At 57.8% G+C, this 18,632-nt stretch overlaps 1 protein-coding gene and 1 long non-coding RNA gene across 6 annotated transcripts in view, besides 8 other annotated features; both read right to left on the reverse strand.

Annotated features, from left to right (window-relative positions):
- The window catches only part of ITGB2 (integrin subunit beta 2), a 42,863-nt gene that overhangs the window by 15,356 nt on the left and 8,875 nt on the right, over positions 1-18,632 (reverse strand). For 2 of the 5 annotated variants that reach the window (NM_001127491.3, NM_000211.5), the window contains exons 2-6: positions 9,417-9,477; positions 8,976-9,064; positions 5,607-5,787; positions 2,057-2,227; positions 184-425 (exon numbers count right to left, since the gene is read on the reverse strand). In NM_001127491.3, the coding sequence (NP_001120963.2) occupies positions 184-425; positions 2,057-2,227; positions 5,607-5,787; positions 8,976-9,064; positions 9,417-9,474 (741 nt within the window). In that variant the 5' untranslated portion in view covers positions 9,475-9,477. Of the gene's footprint in view, positions 1-183; positions 426-2,056; positions 2,228-5,606; positions 5,788-8,975; positions 9,108-9,291; positions 9,478-18,632 lie in introns of those variants that run through there. The other 3 variants (NM_001303238.2, XM_006724001.3, XM_047440763.1) reach the window with 3 other exon arrangements.
- Positions 5,035-5,600: an enhancer, noted in NCBI's record as "H3K27ac-H3K4me1 hESC enhancer chr21:46326258-46326823 (GRCh37/hg19 assembly coordinates)". NCBI's record gives its function as "activates a minimal SCP1, AML or CMV promoter by ChIP-STARR-seq in primed H9 embryonic stem cells {active_cell/tissue: H9 hESC(primed)}" and the evidence as "EXISTENCE:reporter gene assay evidence [ECO:0000049][PMID:30033119]".
- Positions 5,601-6,165: an enhancer, noted in NCBI's record as "H3K27ac-H3K4me1 hESC enhancer chr21:46326824-46327388 (GRCh37/hg19 assembly coordinates)". NCBI's record gives its function as "activates a minimal SCP1, AML or CMV promoter by ChIP-STARR-seq in naive H9 embryonic stem cells {active_cell/tissue: H9 hESC(naive)}" and the evidence as "EXISTENCE:reporter gene assay evidence [ECO:0000049][PMID:30033119]".
- On the reverse strand, positions 6,679-8,966 carry LOC107987303 (uncharacterized). The gene is made up of 2 exons (XR_001755083.2): positions 8,021-8,966; positions 6,679-6,874 (listed from the first exon to the last, which is right to left on the reverse strand). It is a non-coding gene; the product is annotated as an uncharacterized LOC107987303 (long non-coding RNA).
- Positions 7,852-8,351: an enhancer, noted in NCBI's record as "H3K4me1 hESC enhancer chr21:46329075-46329574 (GRCh37/hg19 assembly coordinates)". NCBI's record gives its function as "activates a minimal SCP1, AML or CMV promoter by ChIP-STARR-seq in naive H9 embryonic stem cells {active_cell/tissue: H9 hESC(naive)}" and the evidence as "EXISTENCE:reporter gene assay evidence [ECO:0000049][PMID:30033119]".
- Positions 11,064-11,113: an enhancer, noted in NCBI's record as "active region_18580". NCBI's record gives its function as "activates an Ori minimal core promoter by ATAC-STARR-seq in GM12878 lymphoblastoid cells {active_cell/tissue: GM12878}" and the evidence as "EXISTENCE:reporter gene assay evidence [ECO:0000049][PMID:35858748]".
- Positions 12,433-12,933: an enhancer, noted in NCBI's record as "H3K4me1 hESC enhancer chr21:46333656-46334156 (GRCh37/hg19 assembly coordinates)". NCBI's record gives its function as "activates a minimal SCP1, AML or CMV promoter by ChIP-STARR-seq in primed H9 embryonic stem cells {active_cell/tissue: H9 hESC(primed)}" and the evidence as "EXISTENCE:reporter gene assay evidence [ECO:0000049][PMID:30033119]".
- Positions 13,050-13,099: a silencer, noted in NCBI's record as "silent region_13394". NCBI's record gives its function as "represses an Ori minimal core promoter by ATAC-STARR-seq in GM12878 lymphoblastoid cells {active_cell/tissue: GM12878}" and the evidence as "EXISTENCE:reporter gene assay evidence [ECO:0000049][PMID:35858748]".
- Positions 16,186-17,098: an enhancer, noted in NCBI's record as "H3K4me1 hESC enhancer chr21:46337409-46338321 (GRCh37/hg19 assembly coordinates)". NCBI's record gives its function as "activates a minimal SCP1, AML or CMV promoter by ChIP-STARR-seq in primed H9 embryonic stem cells {active_cell/tissue: H9 hESC(primed)}" and the evidence as "EXISTENCE:reporter gene assay evidence [ECO:0000049][PMID:30033119]".
- Positions 18,182-18,241: a silencer, noted in NCBI's record as "silent region_13395". NCBI's record gives its function as "represses an Ori minimal core promoter by ATAC-STARR-seq in GM12878 lymphoblastoid cells {active_cell/tissue: GM12878}" and the evidence as "EXISTENCE:reporter gene assay evidence [ECO:0000049][PMID:35858748]".

Here is an 18,632-nt window from a genome sequence, read left to right on the forward strand (position 1 = left end):
CTCCCTTCCTCCTGCCCTTTCCTGCATGGGCAGCAGCAGGGTGAGGAGCTGCTCTCCCCAGGCCCAGGCTGGAGTCCCTCAGACGACCTGCCGGCCAGGGTACCCCCCTGCCCCCACACAGCGCCTGACAGAGCCCCCCACACTGGGGGAACGTGGGGACCCAAGCAGGGGCAGCGGCCTCACCGGGCAGGCGGCGACCTGCATCATGGCGTCCAGCCCACCCTCGGGTGCATCCAGGTTTCCGGAAATCAGCTGCTTCCCGACCTCGGTCTGAAACTGGTTGGAGTTGTTGGTCAGCTTCAGCACGTGCCTGAAGGCAAACGGGGGCTGGCACTCTTTCTCCTTGTTGGGGCATGGGTTTCGCAGCTTATCAGGGTGCGTGTTCACGAACGGCAGCACGGTCTTGTCCACGAAGGACCCGAAGCCTGCAGGGCACATGGAGGGGCTGGGGAGGTGGCAGGCTGGGCCCAGGTGGGAGGGCCAGCTTCAAAGGGGCACGAGGGCAAGCCTGTTTCCTCTCTCCTAGCAGGGAGGTGGAGAAAGCAAGATGGCACATGTGGAGTGTGTGTGTGAGCATGTGCGTTGTGCAAGCACACATGTGAACGTATGTGGGCGTGTGTGTGAACCTGGGAGTGTGCAATGTACATGGATGAGCATAAGTGTATGCATGTGTGTTCCTGCATGTATGTGTGTGACCAGGTATACATGTGGGCATGTGAACAGGTGCGTATGTGTATCTGTGTGTGCAGCCATCTGCATGTGTAAACATGAGTGTGTACATGCGTAGCACAACTGTGTGTGCACGTATTCCTGTATGCATGTGAGCATGTTCAGGTATGGACACACCTAGTTCACGTAGGTGACCAGGTACATATGTGGGCATGTGTGTTTATGTACGATTTATACATGTGAGTGAAGACATACATGGGTGATCATGAGTGTGCATGTGAGCATGTCTGTGTGCACATGTGGTCTTGCACGTGTGTATGACTGTGTGTGCATGTGTGTGCACATGCAAGTGTGAGCATGCATTCATGTGTGTGAGCATGCATTTGTGTGTGAGCGTGCATTCACGTGTGTGAGCGTGCATTTGTGCATGTGAGCATACATTCGCGTGTGTGAGCATGCATTTGCGTGTGAGCATACATTCATGTGTGAGCATACATTCACATGTGAGAGCATGCATTTGTGTGTTTGAGCATGTGTGTGAGCATACATTCACGTGTGTGAGCATGCATTCACGTGTGTGTGCATTTGAGTTTGGGTGTGCTTTTGTGTGTGAGCATGCATTCGCGTGTGTGAGCATCCATTTGTGCATGTGAGGATACATTCATGTGTGAGTGTGCATTCGCATGTGTGAGCGTGCATTTGCGTTTGAGCATGCATTTGTGTGTGAGTGTGCATTGCATGTGTGAACATGCATTTGTGTGTGAGCGTGCATTCACGTGCATGAGCGTGCATTTGTGTGTGAGCGTGCATTTGTGTGAGCATGCATTTGCTTGTGTGTGTGTGTGTTATCGTGCATGTGTGCATCCCCGCATGTAGGGAAGGTGGCAGAGTGCCGATGTGAGAAGCCACGGCCGGCGGGGAAGACATGCGCTGTGACTGACACACACGTGTGCTGGAGACCTGCTCTGTGGCAAGGCAGTGCTGGTGTAGAGCGGAGCCCTTGGCCCAGCAGAGCTTGCTGTGTGGTTTCTTCAGTGCTGCCGTCGCTGTGCCGTCTATATGTGTTGTGGTCTTTAATGTTTAATAATTGGCACTGTCAGAATTTTGTCTTTTAAACATACCAAGAAATAAATAAAGGAAGTAGAAGATGGAAGGGGAAGTGGAGGGCTGGACAATGTCTACAAGTGTTGGGGAGCCAGGGACTGGGTGTGGCCCCTGGCAGGGAGGCAGGCCGACTGCAGCCCTGTGGATGCCCTGGGGGGACCTGCATCTGGGGCCCCCAGATCTACCCTGGGGACCTGAGTGCGAGGAGTTGTGTGGGCCACAGGCAGGAGTGGCCAGGGTCTGGGAAAGGACTGGGTTTTGTCCTGCAGTGCCTGGGCCTCACCAATGCGGCCGGACTCGGTGATCTCGTTGAGGGCCCGGAGCAGGTCGCCACCTAGCTTCTTGACATTCCTGAGGTCATCAAGCATGGAGTAGGAGAGGTCCATCAGATAGTACAGGTCGATGGGGTAGCCCTTGGCCCGCCGGAAGGTCACGTTGAACGCTGCTGCCTGGCCTGCCGGTGGGGACAGAACAAAAGGAGCCACACCTCACATCTCACACAGGGTGTCTGGGGGCGTGTGGCCCCGAGCGGGCTGTGCACTGGCACCCTCTCCTCCAGCCCCCAAATCCTCCTGACCTCCCCTCTCCCCGCCTGGCAGGAGAGCTGAGGACCAGACACAGGACATCCAGGCAGGCTGGAGTTTCAGAGGAAGGACATGACTCCCGGACGCAGGCATGTGCCTCGCAGTGACACTGAAACCCGCCTGGGGTGCTTAGAGTTGACGCCAGCGACATTGGGGACGCCTTTCATTGAGAGTGGCAGCGGCTCACCTGGGCTCACACCTAACCCGGCCCCATGCCTGCAGTCCCACGGGCGCCCTCATCAGCAGCCACATAGACAGGCATCACACGAACCTGGCACTTCCCAGCAAGGCCCACGCGGGCCGTCCCCAGGAGGCCCCTTTCTCCATCCCAGCCCTGGACTTCCGCTCGCCCGCGTCTCAGTCACACGTGCGGTTGTGTAGCTGTCTGTTTACCTGTCACCGCAACCAGCCTGTGTCCCTGGCTCCCAGAACCGTGCCTGGTACAAGTCAGCTCTCCATAAACACACATCATGTTAATGAATGAGCAGGGAGGGAGGGTGACGAAGCCTGTCCCCTCTGCCCCACCCTCCAGCCTTCAGCCCCCCTGGGCGGCAGGACAAGTGCAGAGCCCACTCCACCCCCAACCTGCCTGCTGCCACACCCTGGGAGAAAGGGTATGTGCCCCTCCTCACAGACACACACACACGCACTCCTACACATAAATACACCACATGCACACACAGTCACACATGGCATACACACCCACATATATGCACACACACAATACTCACACACAAATATAACTCATGCACACACAGTCACACGTAGCACACACGCACCCACATATACACGCACATGGCACCCACACACAGCAAACACACCACAAATATGCACACACACCACAAACACCAACCACCACACATGCACGCATACACACACACCTCACACTCATACACAACACCAGACACAAAGCACACATACTATATGTACTTGTTCATATACACAAACACACCACATGCACGCACACACACTCGCACACACATACACACACCAAACACACACACATGCACTCACGCACATACACCACACACATGCACTCACATACACATGCATGCCACACACATATACACATGCCACACACATGCATTCACACCCATACACACACGTGCCACACATATACACACACCCCACACAATGCTAAACACATACATACCACACACACCATGCATACACACACACCACACACACATGCGCTCACACACACACACACTCACCCACATTCACACCCGGCACTCCTGGCCCTGGCCCTCGCCCTGCTGTGCCTTGCAGCCCTCAGAGGCTTCACTTGGCCTCTGGGCCAAGGACCCCAATCACTTTCTATGAAGGGCCAGACAGTAAATGTGTTTGGCTTTGGGGGCCGTGCGGCGTCTGCAGCGACATGGAGGAGGCAGCCAAGACCATGTCCCCACGAGCAATGTGGCCATGCTGCAGTCAAAGGGCACAGACATAGGCCTTTGGTGGCTGACCAAGGGGCCCCGTCCCTTCCCTTCCAGAGTAGAGGCTCAGCGAAGGGCCAGCAGGCTGCGGGGGTAGGGCCAGGACCCCGCGAGAGGACAGTCCCTTCCCAGATCCTGCCGCCCTGCTCTGGGAGCCTGTGGCCCTGGGGTGCTGTTAAGATCTCTCCCTGGTGCTCACCCGAGTTTGCCTACCCTCACCTGCATCCACCCGAGCTCACCTGTGCCCTCCCAGAGGCCACAGCATTTGCCCCCTGCACAGTGGGGATGCATGCCAGGCCGTGGGCAGCCACTCCCCCACCCTTCCCCACGGCACAAGGATGCCCCCACTCAGGCGCACCCCCACCCTCCAGGACGATCCTTCCTGACACCTCCAGCACCACAGAGCTGCACAAACTCTGGCCACAGGCAACACCTCTGTCAGCCTCAGTTTCCTCACTGTGAAGTGGGGCGTGGGGAAAATACATCAGAGCTGCCTCCAGGGGCCACAGGGCCAGGCCCTCGAGTTTGAGGTCAGAGGTGGAGGTTCCAGCACGAAGGGGCTTGTGCCTGCTCACGGGGCAGCGAGGGGCAGGCCTGACCCTACCACCAGGGTGGGGTTTTGTCCCCTGCTGCCCCCAGGGACACCTGGGCCCTGCTCCTGCAGGACCTCCCCAATGGCTCGGCCCCATCCCTCACTGTCTCCCAGCTGCCTCCCTCCCGGCTGCTGCTGGCTGTCACCTGGCCGCCTGCACCCTGGGCCACTCTGCCCCAAGGCTAACTCAGTGGCCGCTGACCTGGGCTTCCCCTGAGGGCAGAGCTCTGAGCCCCAGCCTGTCCGACACCAGCTGGTTCCTCTAAAGTCACCCTGGCCCCGTCTGCACCCTCTCCCTGGGAGATGGCTTCCCCTTCCTTCCCTGGCCTCACTGTGGCCTGGGAGGTCACAGGTCGGTGGCCACACCAGGCCTCCTTCTCCCATCTGCTGCACCACCACACCTGCCTTCCTGGAGCAAGGAGGGAGCTTCGTTTCTTCCCTCCCTTCCCCTTCCCTCCCTTCCCTCCCTTCCCTCCCTCCCTTCCCTCCCCTTCTCTTCCCTTCCTTTCTTTTCATTTTGAGACAGAATCTCGCCCTGTCGCCCAGGCTAAAGTGCAGTGGCACAATCTTGGCTCACTGCAACCTCTGCCTCCCAGGTTCAAGTGATTCTCCTGCCGCAGCAGGAGAATGTTGGCCAGGCTGGTCTCGAACCCCCGACCTCAAGTGATCCACCCGCCTCGGCCTCCCAAAGTGCTGGGATTACAGGCGTGAGCCACCGATAAGGAGGGCGTTTCTCAAAGCACTGACAGGGGACTGTGTTCTGAAACAGGTGCTCTGGTCAAGTCGAAACAGGTGCTCTGGTCAAGTCAGTTTGGGCAACACTGGTTTAAACAGTTACTTAGGTCTCTTGGCTGCAAGACTGATCAGAGCCTTTACTCTTCTAAGAGTACCCTGGCCTTCTGAGTGTGTAATGGAATAGTGTTTTGCAAATGGTTTGGTCTCCCTTTAAAAAAAAAAGGTGCAGAACGTCGGGCTGCGAGAGAGTGCAGACACTGGGCACCGATGGTAAGGGCTGGGGCAGCTCCACCTGGGGACAGAGCGGAAGGGCACTGAGGAGCTCAGCTTTCCAGCAGCCTTGGGGCTTCACTGGCCCACACACCCGTCCGACCCGGACACATGCCTTCTGGGCAGCCCTGACACCCCAGAGCAGGGCCGGACTCCCAGCCAGAGCCAATAACCAGCACAGACGGTGCCTGGCACCACCACCGAGGCCAAGCCTACCTGGTCGCAGGTAAAGCGTCACTTTTTGTGGGGACAGCTGCTTCTGGCCCCCATTGTGGTCTTCCTGGGTTTCAGCGAGGCTTGTGGGGTCCATGATGTCGTCAGCCGCACAGCCCCTCATGAGCAGCTGTGGCCGGGTGTCGCAGCGAATGGAGTCAGGATCCCCCGGCCCTGTGAAGTTCTGGGGAGGGGGAGTCAGGGGTCAGGAGGGGGCCACACTGCGGGACCTGCAGGAGGCTGACTGGCCATGGAGGACTGAGGACCCACCCTGTCCCCTCCTCCTCTGCGCCTGGAATTTGGGACAGAAGTCCCTGTGGACAGAGACAGGGAGCTCCTTCAGCCTCCCAGACAGCCCCTCCCTGAAGGCTCCCGGCCACAGCAGACCCCTGGGGGGCAGGGTATCGCCTCCTCCTCTGCCTCTAGCGGCAGAAAGGACTCAGGACCTACTCTCCAGCCCGAGGCTGACCCAAGAGGAGAGGCCTCAGCGTCCTCTAGCAGCTGGCCCAGGGGCTTCAAGCCCTTCATCAGCAGAACCTTTGTCCAAGGGAGTTGCTGTGTCCCAAAGGAACGTGGCAGTCCCTAGGCCCCCAAGAAACCCAGAACATGGGCAGGGTTCTGGGCCAAGCCCCTCAAAGTTTAGAAGAACAAAAGCTGGAGGGGAGCCTGGGAGGCCTGGGCCCAGGGCGCTTTCCTCTCAGCCACTTTGTCCCTGCAAATCCCCTGGATTCTGATGAGGGCTGTGTTTGGTGGGTCCCGTCACTGGCCCCGAGCCTGCTGCCTCTACAGGGAAGGGTGCTGGTGATGCGGGGCCAGAAGCGCGTGTTTGTGCACTTGCTTTCGTAGAGGGAAGCTCAGGAGGATAAGCCCGGCCCCCAGAGGCTGGTGAGTCCCGCAGGCAGGGGGGCAGGTGGGAGGGGAGGGCGACAGTCCCCAGGGTGCCTCTTTGTAGGGCTCTGACTTTTGGAACCACAGAATTTTTTAAAGAAGTCCTCCAGAAATAAAAGTACATCAGCAAGTATCCCAGCAAGAGAGAAAAGAAAGCCTAAATGTAATCCACACAGAAACAAACAAATCTCACTGAAAGGTGTTTATTTCAGAGGAGCTGAAAACCTCCAGAAAGGGGAGGGAAAAAACCCAGCCTGACCAAGGTAGTTTCCACCTGGGGCCTGGCCACCCTGCTCAGTCCGAGGACAGACGGGAGCCACCCGGCTTCTCCTCCGGGGACTGCTCGCCGCGGTGGCGTGGGCTGGAGGACCCAAAGCCGCTCCCTGTGGGACGCAAAATTGAGAAATGAGGAAGCTGCTGACGGTAAGGAATGAGACACCACTTCTCCTGCTGCCCTCCCCTTCTTCTCCACCCCCTCCCCTTCTCTAGTTTATAAGACAGGAGAAAAGAGAGAAAGCAAAAAGTTGGAAAGAAACAGAAGTAAGATAAATAGCCAGATGACCTTGGCGCCACCACCCGGCCCTGGTGGTTAAACTAATAATATTATTATTATTATTATTATTAACCCCTGACCAAAACTACTGGTGTTATCTGTAAATTCCAGACATTGTATGAAAAAGCATTGCAAAACTTTCTGTTCTGTCAGCTGATGCATGTAACCCCCAGTCAAGTTCCCCACACTTGCTCTATCTATCACAACCCTTTCATGTGGACCCCTTAGAGTTGTAAGCCCTTAAAAGGGCTAGGAATTTCTTTTTCGGGGAGCTCGGCTCTTAAGACGCAAGTCTGCTGACACTCCTGGCCAAATAAAGCCCTTCCTTCTTTAACCGAGTGTCTGAGGAATTCTGTCTGCGGCTTGTCCGGCTACAACGGTGCTGGAGCCCAGACTCTCAGGGAAAGGAACCCGAGCCGTCAGAAAACCATCTGATTCCAGGCTGGGGCAAGGGACATGGAGATGGGCCTGCAGCATCATGTTGCTCCAGAAAGCAAGAAAGTGCTCAGAACGGTAGAACGGGGATGCATGGACAGGACACGCAGCCAGACCCAGCGGATTTGAGCAACTCGGGGAAGAAAGGACAGCCACAGATCATGCACTACTGAACAAAATAAAACTGTGGGTCACGCTGATGAGAGAGAGGCTGCAGAGAAGGAGAGACCCTTCCTTAGGTTGGCAGCCGTGAGTGGCAGGCGGGGACCAGCACGGCACCAATCTGCAGCCATCGCAGTGATGGCGGCTTCAGGCGGGGACCTCCGCGGATGCTGAGCCTGCGGGTGCGATTTGATGAGGGCAGAACCTCACCAGCCCACAGTGGCTGCGAGGGGATCATGCAGCGGGATGGGGAGGCCGGGGGGATGCCGTCTCAGCAGAGCCGTCCACGCTGACCTCATCAAGACTGGGACGGGGCCACAGCAGTGCCTCTCATGGGCACTTAGGACACCGTCACTGAGGGGCTCCTGCCAAAGCACACCTGAGTCCAGGCAGAGGAAACTCCAGACAAGACCCCCGAGGGTCATGCTACAAAGCTGCTCTCCTGACTTCCTCAGAAACGCCCAAGGACAGGAAAGACAAAGAAAGCTGAGGACTTGTCCAGATTCAAGAAGCCCAAGGAGACGGCTGAGCGTAGGGCGAGCCTGGGTGAGGAGATTCAGAGCGTTAGACGGCTGAGCGCAGTGTGTGAACCTGGGTTAGGAGATTTGGGGCCTGAGATGGCTGAGTGCAGGGTGAGCCTGAGTGAGGAGATTCTGAGCCTGAGACAGCTGAGCACAGGGTGAGCCTGGGTGACAAAATCCACCAGGAAAATATGCTCACGAAGACATCATTGGGACAACCAATAAAATATGCGTAGTGTGTAGGTTTGATGATAATGAGATACCAATGCTGAATTTCCTGAATTTGATACATGAATTTATCAAATATAGATATACATGTATCAAAATACATTTACATCAAAGTACATTTCCTCTTGGCCACCTTGTCCCTGCAAAGCCCCTGGATTCTGATAAGGGCTGTGTTTGGTGGGTCCCGTCACTGGCCCCAAACCTGCTGACTCTGCAGGAAAGCGTGCTGGCGATGCGGGGCCAGAAGCGCGCGTGTTTCTGCACTTGCTTACGTAGTTTTGTAAGTGAAAACCTTGTTCTTAAGAAAGACCTCCCTTGAAGTACTAAGAGACAAAGGGCTCCATGTCTACAACCTACTCGGAAATGGCTGAGAAAAAATACAAGTGTGTGTTCTGTGTGTGTTTCCAAACAGACCACACATCAGAACCTCAGGGGCCCCTTGAGGGGAGGGTGAGGCCAGGGTCTGGGGACCCCCTCAAAAAGAAAATGGAGTTGTTGGTCCTCTGGGTGCCACTGGCTTCAGGGGCAGGAAAGGGCCCTCACCCAGGAGCTGGGCAGGTGGGGAGGGGTCCAGGAGGCACTTACCAGCTTCTGGCACCAGGTGCAGCCGGGCCCCGACTCGATGCATTCCCGGCAGCTGCTGACCTTGAACTTCGTGCACTCCTGAGAGAGGACTGAGGGACGAGGCCGGCTGGTGAGTGGGTGCTCTGGGCCGCCCTGCCCACACCCAAGGGGGAGTAGAGCAGGAAGGTCAGAGGAGGCCCAAAAAGACAGGGAGGCAGCCTCCAGGAGGAGACCCCGCATTCGCCACCACCCCCAGGTGCAAAGAGGGGCCCTCGGGAAACAGCACAGCTACAGCCTCCTGGCACGTGCGGAGACGAGGCCTGAGTCCCCGACCTACCCCCAGTGGCAAGGTCCTTCCCCAGCCTCCCGGGAACTTCTGTCTATGGGAAAGTGAGGGCAGGCCCTGTTCTCCCTGATTGGAATGTCACGCGTGGAGTCCCCTCCGTGGAACACAGAACTCACCGCACCCGAGGGAGAGCAGCCCCACCAGGGCGAGCAGTGGGGGGCGCAGGCCCAGCATGTCCTGTGGAGGGAAGGGGTCTTGGTGACGGTCTCAGGCCCAACCCCTGGGGCTGACCACCCATGAAGCTCCCCTCCAGCTGGCCTGGGACAAGGAGCTGGGGCCCTGTCCCTGCTGCAGGGGGTGGGTTAGGGTCAGGCCAGCACAGCTGCACTGGGCCCAGCTGCCAACAGCCAGGGAGGGAGGGATCCCGGGCTCAGCAGTGCGGGCAGCACACCTGCTCAGCCAGGCACCCAGGACAGCTGCAGCGGGCCCCTGCAGAGGCACACAACACAGGCACACACACACATGCAGACGTGTACACACACCACACATGCACGTGTACGTGCATACAGATGTGTGCCTGACTGCATGTACACACCACGTGCATGCACACACCACACATATACATGCATCACACCACACATATGTACACACAGAGATGTATACACCCCTTACCCACACCATACTCCCCGCAAGACACTACACACCACACACAAATATACACATGCACACGTACACACACATACACACCACACAGACACACACACCACACGCACACACCATACACACGTGCAAATGTACACGCACACAAACACCAGAACCCCACACACCCGGTGTGTGCACTCTGCCCCAGTGTGCCCCAGGTCCTCCGTGAGCAGAGCCTGTGCTTGGAGGAGAGCTGGGCTTGGCCCTGTCTCTCTGTGGCAGAAACATAGCCAGGAAGAGAAAGCTGGCTGGATGCCCGCGGGTGCCAGGCTGTGTGCCAGGAAGAGAAAGCTGGCTTGATGCCCGCGGGTGCCAAGCTGTGTGCTAGGCCTGCCCAGGAGCCCTGCAGTCCCTGCCAGGTGGGAAAAAAAGTCACCTGACTTGCCCAAGCCACCAGTTGCCGGGGTCCTGCCCTTTTGTTTCCAGATACACACCCACCCCGTCCTTAACCCACGCATCCACAGCCAGGGGCGGCTCAGTGGTCACTCACAGGCCCTCGGCCCCAGAGGCAAAATGACGGAAGCAGGCCTCAGCCTGGTGCTGGAGGCCGGCAGCACCTCCTAGCGGGCAGCAGGGCCGTTCCACCCCTGGGTTCCCTTCCCTCCATCCGGGAGGTGCCCAAACCAGGCCTAGGTCGGCTCCTTGGGGGGTCTTAGGGCTTCCTAGGTGGGGTGGGCCCCTGGGTCTGACCTCCCAGGACCTGAGAACATTATAGCTGGCTGGGACCCTTTTATCTGGCACCAAGAAGGTGGAGAGGTACTGAGAAGGGGTACCCAGGAGCCTTCCTGTCATGGTGGGCAGGAAGACATTTCCGTTACCCTGGGGCTGTTGTCAGAAGCAAAGATCAACACACCTCCTCCAGCAAATGCCAGTTCCTGTCACGGCCTCCCAGGCTGCTGGGGCGTTCCTGCCCCACACCCTTCCCTCGGGTGGTGCTGGCAGGGCCACCCAAGGTTCAGTGGGCAGACCCAAGCCAGCAGAGCCCCAAACTAGGGCCTGCCGGCTTTGAAGACAGCGCTGGGTGCTGTGCTGTGGCCCGGGAGGCTCGGGTGCCCTCAGCCACAGGCCCTGGCTCCCCTCCATCCCCCGAAAGCCCTGCACCTGTGCTGGGGGCTCTGAGGCCAACGGAACACCCACCAGGGGCCCATCTGAGGATCCCACAGCTTAGACGCCCCAACAAGCCCCAAGGTCCTGTTGTTTTGGCAGTGACCTCATTCCCTGGTTCCCAGCAAAATTATAATCAGAATACAAAAATGTCAAAAGGGAACCCTTGATCCTTCCCGTCCTGGGGTCAAAAACAGAACCTGCACCCTGCTGTAACTTCCTGGAGGAGGTGGTTTTGGTTCACATTGGGCCCACCCTGTGTCTGAAAGCCCCCATATCTCTGATCGTTGGGGGTTGTGGTTCAGGCCGAGGCCAGTTCCAGCTCTCCATCTGGGCCCCCTCAAAGTCCTGCGCCTGGACTGACCTCGGTGCCACGAGTGCCCACCAGCCCCTCAGCTGATCGGAGGCCCTGTGCGTGCTGGAGCTACCCCAGGGTGCAGGGTCCAGCCAGCTTCAGGACTCCCCCAGGGTGCAGGGTCCAGCCGGCTTCAGGACTCCCCCAGGGTGCAGGGTCCAGCCGGCTTCAGGACTCCCCCAGGGTGCAGGGTCCAGCCGGCTTCAGGACTCCCCCAGGGTGCAGGGTCCAGCCGGCTTCAGGACTCCCCCAGGGTGCAGGGTCCAGCCGGCTTCAGGACTCCCCCAGGGTGCAGGGTCCAGCCGGCTTCAGGACTCCCCCAGGGTGCAGGGTCCAGCCGGCTTCAGGACTCCCCCAGGGTGCAGGGTCCAGCCGGCTTCAGGACTCCCCCAGGGTGCAGGGTCCAGCCGGCTTCAGGACTCCCCCAGGGTGCAGGGTCCAGCCGGCTTCAGGACTCCCCCAGGTCGCAGCTGCGCCAAGTGGGGAGGGGGTGCAGACCTCCCCTGGCAGCCCCAGCCAGGCTGGTAAGGACTCACACCCCAGCTCCACGCTCTCCCTGGGGCCGCAGACATGAGGTCTCCGCCCCTAACACAGTCGTGACCAGTGGCATGCAAACACTTCATACCCTCAAATGGGGAAACTGAGGGCCCCAGCAGCAGCAAGATATGGACCTGGTGCCCAGTTACCCCGGGCACTCCCACCTGCCCACAGGGAGAGGGGGTGCACCTTGATTCCAGCAGGATTGGCTCAGAGACCACGGCACCCCAACCTTGACCACAGGAAGGGGGCTGGTGGGGAGCCACCTTCTCCCCACTGTTGCTCCTCCATGAGCAGCCCTGGGGGGCTTGGAGCTGGGGGCACAAGAGAAGCCAGGCCCTGCCCCACCCCCCAATGCCAGTGGCTGAGCCCAGACAAACAGCTGGGGATGAAGGTCCGCTCCAGGAGGTAAGGCAGTGCACTGAGCCTGGCAGCCAGCCTCCCTTCTGTGGGAGAACAGGGCAGGGCAGCCCCTCTGCCCAGCAGCCAGGATGGCCCACGGAGGTCCAGGGCCTCACCTGAGGCCTGAGAGACCAAGACCCCATCAGGCCTATCTGCCTCAGTTTCCTCCATGTGCCTGGAGGTGGTCGAAGGGCCTGTGCCAGCTCCCTGGGGGATGGGAATGGGTAAGGCACAGATGTAGGGCAGCATTCGGGCAAACAGGTGCCTGGCCACTGTCACCTCTGGTGCCCTGAGGCTAAGCCGGCAGAGCTGCAGGGCAGGAGGGGAGGAAGAGCACAGACACCCCCCACCCCAGCCCCTGAGCTGGCCCCAGAGCTCTGGCCTGGAGCCTGATCACCCTGAGGCCCTCCCTGCTGCCCCACACTGGGGGCAGGTGCCCTCCTCATTCTCCAAGGCCCTCCCTGCTGCCCCACACCAGGGGCGGGTGCCCTCCTCATCCTCCAGCTCTGGACATCCCCCATCTAAGGGCGGGCGGGTCCCCTTACCAAGACCTAAGGTGCAAAACCCAAAGCTGAGGCTGCTTAGGAATCCACAGCCCCACAGGCCTCTCAGAACCTTGCATCAGAGTCGCCCTTGACCTCAACCCTGCCCGAGAAGGAAGTGCTGGTGCAACCCCAGCCCAGCTGCAGGAAGTGGTACCTGTCACCAAGTCCCCTGCACAGGGGAAGCAGGGGGCTGAGGGGGCAGGACCAGGGGGACGAGGTCATCCTTCCCCGGAGAACCCCTCAGGGGCCGGGCGCCCTTCCCTCCCGGGCACCAAATGGACACAGCTAACAAGAACCACACTTCACGGTGAGCAAAGCTCTGAACATTCAGGCTCTGAGACACGAAAGCGGCGTCAGAAGAGACCTGCAGCAGATCCGGGCCAAATCACACACACCCTTTCACAGAAGTCGAGGACAGGAGAACAGGAGCAAACACAGGAAAGGAAGAGGCCAGCCTGGTGGCTGACGCCTGCAATCCCAGTGTTTTGAGAGGCCAAGGCAGGAGAATCACTTGAGGCCAGGAGTTTGAGAGCAGCCTGGGCAACACAGTGAGACTCCTACCTCTACAAAAAATAAAAATAGAAAATAAATTAGCCAGACATGGTGGCATGCATCTCTAGTCCCAGTTACTCAGGAGGCTGAGGCAGGAGGATCACTCGCGCCCAGGAGGGAGAGACTGCAGTGAACCCTAATGGCACTGCTGAACTCCAGCCTAGTTGACAGAACGAGGCCCTGTCTCAAAAAAAAAAGAAAAGAAAAAGAAAGGAAACTTTAAGCAAGACAGCAGAGAGAGGGCAGAGCCTATGCTGGGAGAGGAATCCAGCGGGGTCAGGCTTCCTTTTTATTTTTTTGAGACGGAGTTGCGCTGTCACCGGCCTGGAGTGCAGTGGCGCGATCTCAGCTCACTGCAAGCTCCGCCTCCCAGGTTCATGCCATTCTCCTGCCTCAGCTTCCTGAGTAGCTGGGACTACAGGCTCCCACGACCACGCCCAGCTAATTTTTTTGTGTTTTTAGTAGAGACGAGGTTTCATCGTGTTGATCAGGATGGTCTCGATCTCCTGACCTCATGATCCGCCCACCTCGGCCTCCCAAAGTGCTGGGATTACAGGCGTGAGCCACCGTGCCCAGTCTCAGGCTTCCTTTTTGCAACCCCGTAAAACCCTAAGACGAGACTGCTTGAGGAACCAGAGGCCCCGCAGACCCATTGGAACTTTGCATCAGAGCTTCCTCCTGCCTGTGCTGAAACCCACCTTGCGCTGTCCTAGAGGAGAGGCACTCGCATCAAAGTGACTCGGAGGTGCGCGGGAAGTGATGGACGATGCCGCCAGGGGACAAGGTTGGAAGGAAGAGGACATGGGAGCCAACCCCTGCGCTGGGAACTGAAGGCTCAAGGGATGATTATAAACTAGGCATCCACCTTTTAAGCCAAAAGCCAGAGCATCAAGATGGACTCATTTCTGCTTTGTAGGAATGTGATAAAGAACTGGAGAGAAGTGCCGTCAGGTGGGGACTGGAACACTGTCCTTGGATCACAGAGGCTCCAGGAAATCCAGGGACAAAAACAGGTCAGATCAAATAGGAACAAGTCGGAGCAGAGAGGATGCAGGAAAACCCAGCCCATGTCGCCTCTGAACCTGCGACCCTGCAAAAGCGTATTTTCCCAAGGGTCAGGGAGACGTGTTCCTACTGTTGGTTTGACTATCTGTGAAGTTTGATAGCACAGTTTTGTTTGTTTGTTTGTTTTTTTGAGATGGAGTCTCACTCTGTCATCCAGGCTGGAGTGCAATGGCTAGATCTCGGCTCACTGCAACCTCCGCCTCCCATGTTCAAGAAATTCTTCTGCCTCAGCCTCCTGAGTAGCTGGGACTATAGGTGCACACCACTAGGCCCAGCTAATTTTTGTATTTTTAGTAGAGATGGAGTTTCACCATATTGGCCAGGCTGGTCTCGAACTCCTGACCTCGTGATCCGCCTGCCTCGGCCTCCCAAAGTGCTGGGATTACAGGCGTGAGCCACTGCGCCCGGCCTGATAGCACAAATTTTAAAGGCCACAATTTCTGGCCAAATGAAATAAAATGAGACACCCCACCCCCCCGACACACACATATTAATAAGGAATGCTAAAGTACTCTGCTAAATACCTGAAGTCAAAGGGAAATCAAATGATATTTACAGCATTTTAGACAAGGGGACACCACTCCTCCATCTAACATGAAGGAGACTGTCTGTTCCTGGGTGGCGACGTGAGGCCGAGGCCCCGGACACTCTTGCTGTGGACATAAAAGAATGGCCACAAATGTGTAGGACTTCAGTTTTAGGGAATAAAACAATAAAGGAAATAGAAGAATAGGTATCTAAGAGTAAGGAAACCTCAGCATAAAAGCTAAGGGGAGGCCGGGCATGGTGGCTCATGCCTGTAATCCCAGCACTTTGGGAGGCTGAGGCAGGCGGATCACCTGAGGTCAGGAGTTTGAGACCAGCCTGAGCAACATAGTGAAACCCCATCTCTACTAAAAATACATAAATTAGCTGGGCTTGGTGGCGGGCGCCTGTAATCCCAGCTACTCGCGAGGCTGAGGCAGGAGAATCACTTGAGCCCGGGAGGCAGAGGGTGCAGTGAGCTGAGATCTCACCTCTGCACTCCAGCCTGGGCAACAAGAGTGAAACTGTCTCAAAAGAAAAAAAAAAAAAAAGCTAAGGGGGAAAATAGCAAGAAGACAGACTCTAAAAATGGCACATGTTGTACTAACAAATTGCATAGAGGAAATAGCTATTATCTCTCTAGTGCAAAAGGTAAATGGTAATCTTCATCTCTAAAGAGATCTTAGAAATTAATAACAAAAAGGTAAATACTCCATTCAAGGATGTTTCAAGGGTGTGGCACCCTGAGCAGGTAATTCACAAAAGAAGGAAGAAAACTGGCTAAGAAACATATGAGTCACCCCAGGAAAGAACCAGGGATTTCAGCCAAAATATCTTGATTCCCTGTGTAGCCGTCAACGTGTAAGATGCTTTGGCGGTTTCGGTGCCTGCGCTATGGAGTCCCACACAGCAACGAAAACATGCAAACAGCTGCTCAGGGCAGCTTGGCTTCGTGGTAAAAGTGAATTTATGGGGAAAAAAAGAGAGACACAGTTCCAAAATATTCTGCATTTCTCTGGGTGGTGGCACTATGAGTATTTTCAATTTTCATTATTCCTGTTTGTATTTTCCACCCTTTTTGTGATAAATGAATAAAGGACATTTTAAAAATGGAATTTCATGGTGGCCGACGAATTATGCTGAAATTGCTCCTTCGGATTCCAAAGCTACTGGCTTTCTTGTTCCCACTGTGACGTTGATGAGGACGCTGCTTCATGGCAGTGGGACCTCCCTGCTGGCATGGGCTTGTTGCCACTGTCACTCACCCATTCACCCATCCATGGGACAGGGGCTTGCCAGCCTCTCCTCTAGGCACGGCGCAGGGGCTGAGAGCTGCACTCCAGGACTCCTGGACTCTGCCCTCTGCTGAGACTCTCAGCACCTCTTTTCCCCAACACCTACCCCAAGTTTCCATCACACACAGAAACCTCCACCACTCCCAACACCAACATGTGTCCCCAGCGAGGCTGTTTACAAATCAGCTGGGCAGGAAGGTGTTCCCCTGGGGCTAACTCTTCTGCACTCTCAGACCCTGAATGGCCGGAGAGAACACGCAGCCCGGGGTGGGCAGGGGCCTCAGCTCAGGACAGCACCAGGGCCCTCTGTGCTTGCTCAGGGCCTGGGCTCCACACACATGGGCTCGGAATCGACAAATGCAACCACCTAATCAATGCCCCGTGTCAGTGCCAGTTTGTGCCAAGCAGAATGGGAGGGATAATTGCTGGCACCAGGTCCGGCTTGGGGTGGGTATCACCCACAGCTCCATAATTGCTAGGCGCCCACTGCAGAGCCCCTTGAGTTGGGGCTTCCCAGCGACCTGGCCTGTACCTGCTGGGCAAATGCCTGTGTCACTGACCCCTGTGGCAGCTGGCATTCTCCTCCGGGAACGGGAGCCAGCCTCCGGTGACATGGCCTCAGGCAGGACCACGGTTCTCTGACACAGGACACGAGTGCAGCAAGGGGGGCCCACACAGGACCTGTTCCATGGAATCGCCACAGGCGTCACGCTGCCCCATCCACAGAGGCAAATGTCCCACAGCCCTGGTACCTGGTGGGGCCCGGCCTGGGCCAGAGTGGACAGACCTGGGCCTGGCAGGAGCCCTGGGGAAGTGAGTTCAAGTTACACGGTTGACTATAGAGACAGCTGGAGTGCGCACAATTGGCCAGACCACCCCTCCTGTTTCACAGATGGGGAAACTGAGTCACGGGGGACCAAATAGCCTGCTCACCCCATGCCCCTTCCAGACAGGGTGCAGATAGGGCCCCTCCCATCTCCTGGATGGCCGCGGCCCCTGTGCAGAACTTCCTTCATGGGCACCTCGCTGTCTGGGGGCCTCTTCCCCAGGGAGTCTCCTGGTGGTGGCCGTGTTGCCTCAGGCTCACTGTGCACTAGGCAGGTCACGTCGATGCCGCCTGAGGGGCAGGGGTTACCACCCTGTGGTTCAGGTGAGAAGCTCCAGGCTCAGGAGTGTCCAGCTGCCTGGGCAGTGTTTGGATCTCATGCCAGCCCCTGCCAGGAGGCCCTGCTTCTCCAGCCCAGCCCACGCCCACCAGGAAATGCCCCTATTTACTCCCTTGAGGCAAAGGCCCTTGGGTGGCTAAGCGTCCCCTCTCCCAGCACTCGGAGCTGAGCGTCCCCTCTCCCAGCACTCGGAGCTGAGCATTCCCCTCTCCCAGCACTCGGAGGCACCTGCAGTTGCTCAGCTGTTCATTGAGTGCTGGGAGTGGAAACTCATACGCTGAGCGGCAGTGACGCTGCGGAGCTGACAAACCCCACAGCCCGCCCGGTCACCTGCTTCACCGAGGGCCACAGCCCCCCCGGGGTCAGGTGGCCACAGGGGTCCTGGCCATGTGGGACATCTGTTCTGTGGCCCTGCTCAGGATGGCACCCGGCGGGGACTGGCCCTGGGGCCGAGGCATGGGCTCAGCCGCCGCCCTGCAGGGACGTAGCCAGGGACCTCTTCCCAGCAGAGGGACTCCCCCACTCATCCCCAGAATACTGAGGGGCACGCTGGGTGCCAGGCTGGCAGGGACCCTGGGGATTCTGCTGTGAGCTGGATGGGGAAGGAGTTCCTTCCTAAAATGTGGAGTCTGGAGGCCACTCTTGGTAAAGTGCTGGCCCCCGGGGATTCTGCAGTGAGCTGGGCATGGATTCTGCAGTGAGCTGGGCTTCACTCATGGTGAAACGCTGGGGTGACGGCAGACAGCCCAGAGCTTCTAGCAGCTCATTTCTGTGAAGCCTCCAGAATCCGGCCTCAGCCCCCAAACCCGCAGGCGTTGCGCCACCGTCACGGGGAAGGCGAGTGACAGCGAGTGTCCCCTATGCCCCCACAGCTCGCTCCCAGGCTGAGCTCTCCGGCCATCCCCCCCCTTCCCCATTGCAGCCATGCCACCCCTCCTTCTCCCCACCCAGGAACTGACAGAGGAGAGGGGCCCCGGATGGACAGGGACAGCAGGGCAGAATCCCAGCTCCCAGATCCAGGGGAGGGGGGATTGGGTGTGGGGACGGTGGTGCAAGGGGTGGTGCCAGGGGTGGAGGATGCATGGGGAGGGCTGGCCCCAAGAGTGCAGTGTTGGGGGAAGGGGGCCAGGTGGGCCTGGGACCC

This window comes from Homo sapiens, chromosome 21 (assembly GCF_000001405.40).
Source record: "Homo sapiens chromosome 21, GRCh38.p14 Primary Assembly".
NCBI classification, from domain to species: Eukaryota; Metazoa; Chordata; class Mammalia; order Primates; family Hominidae; genus Homo; species Homo sapiens.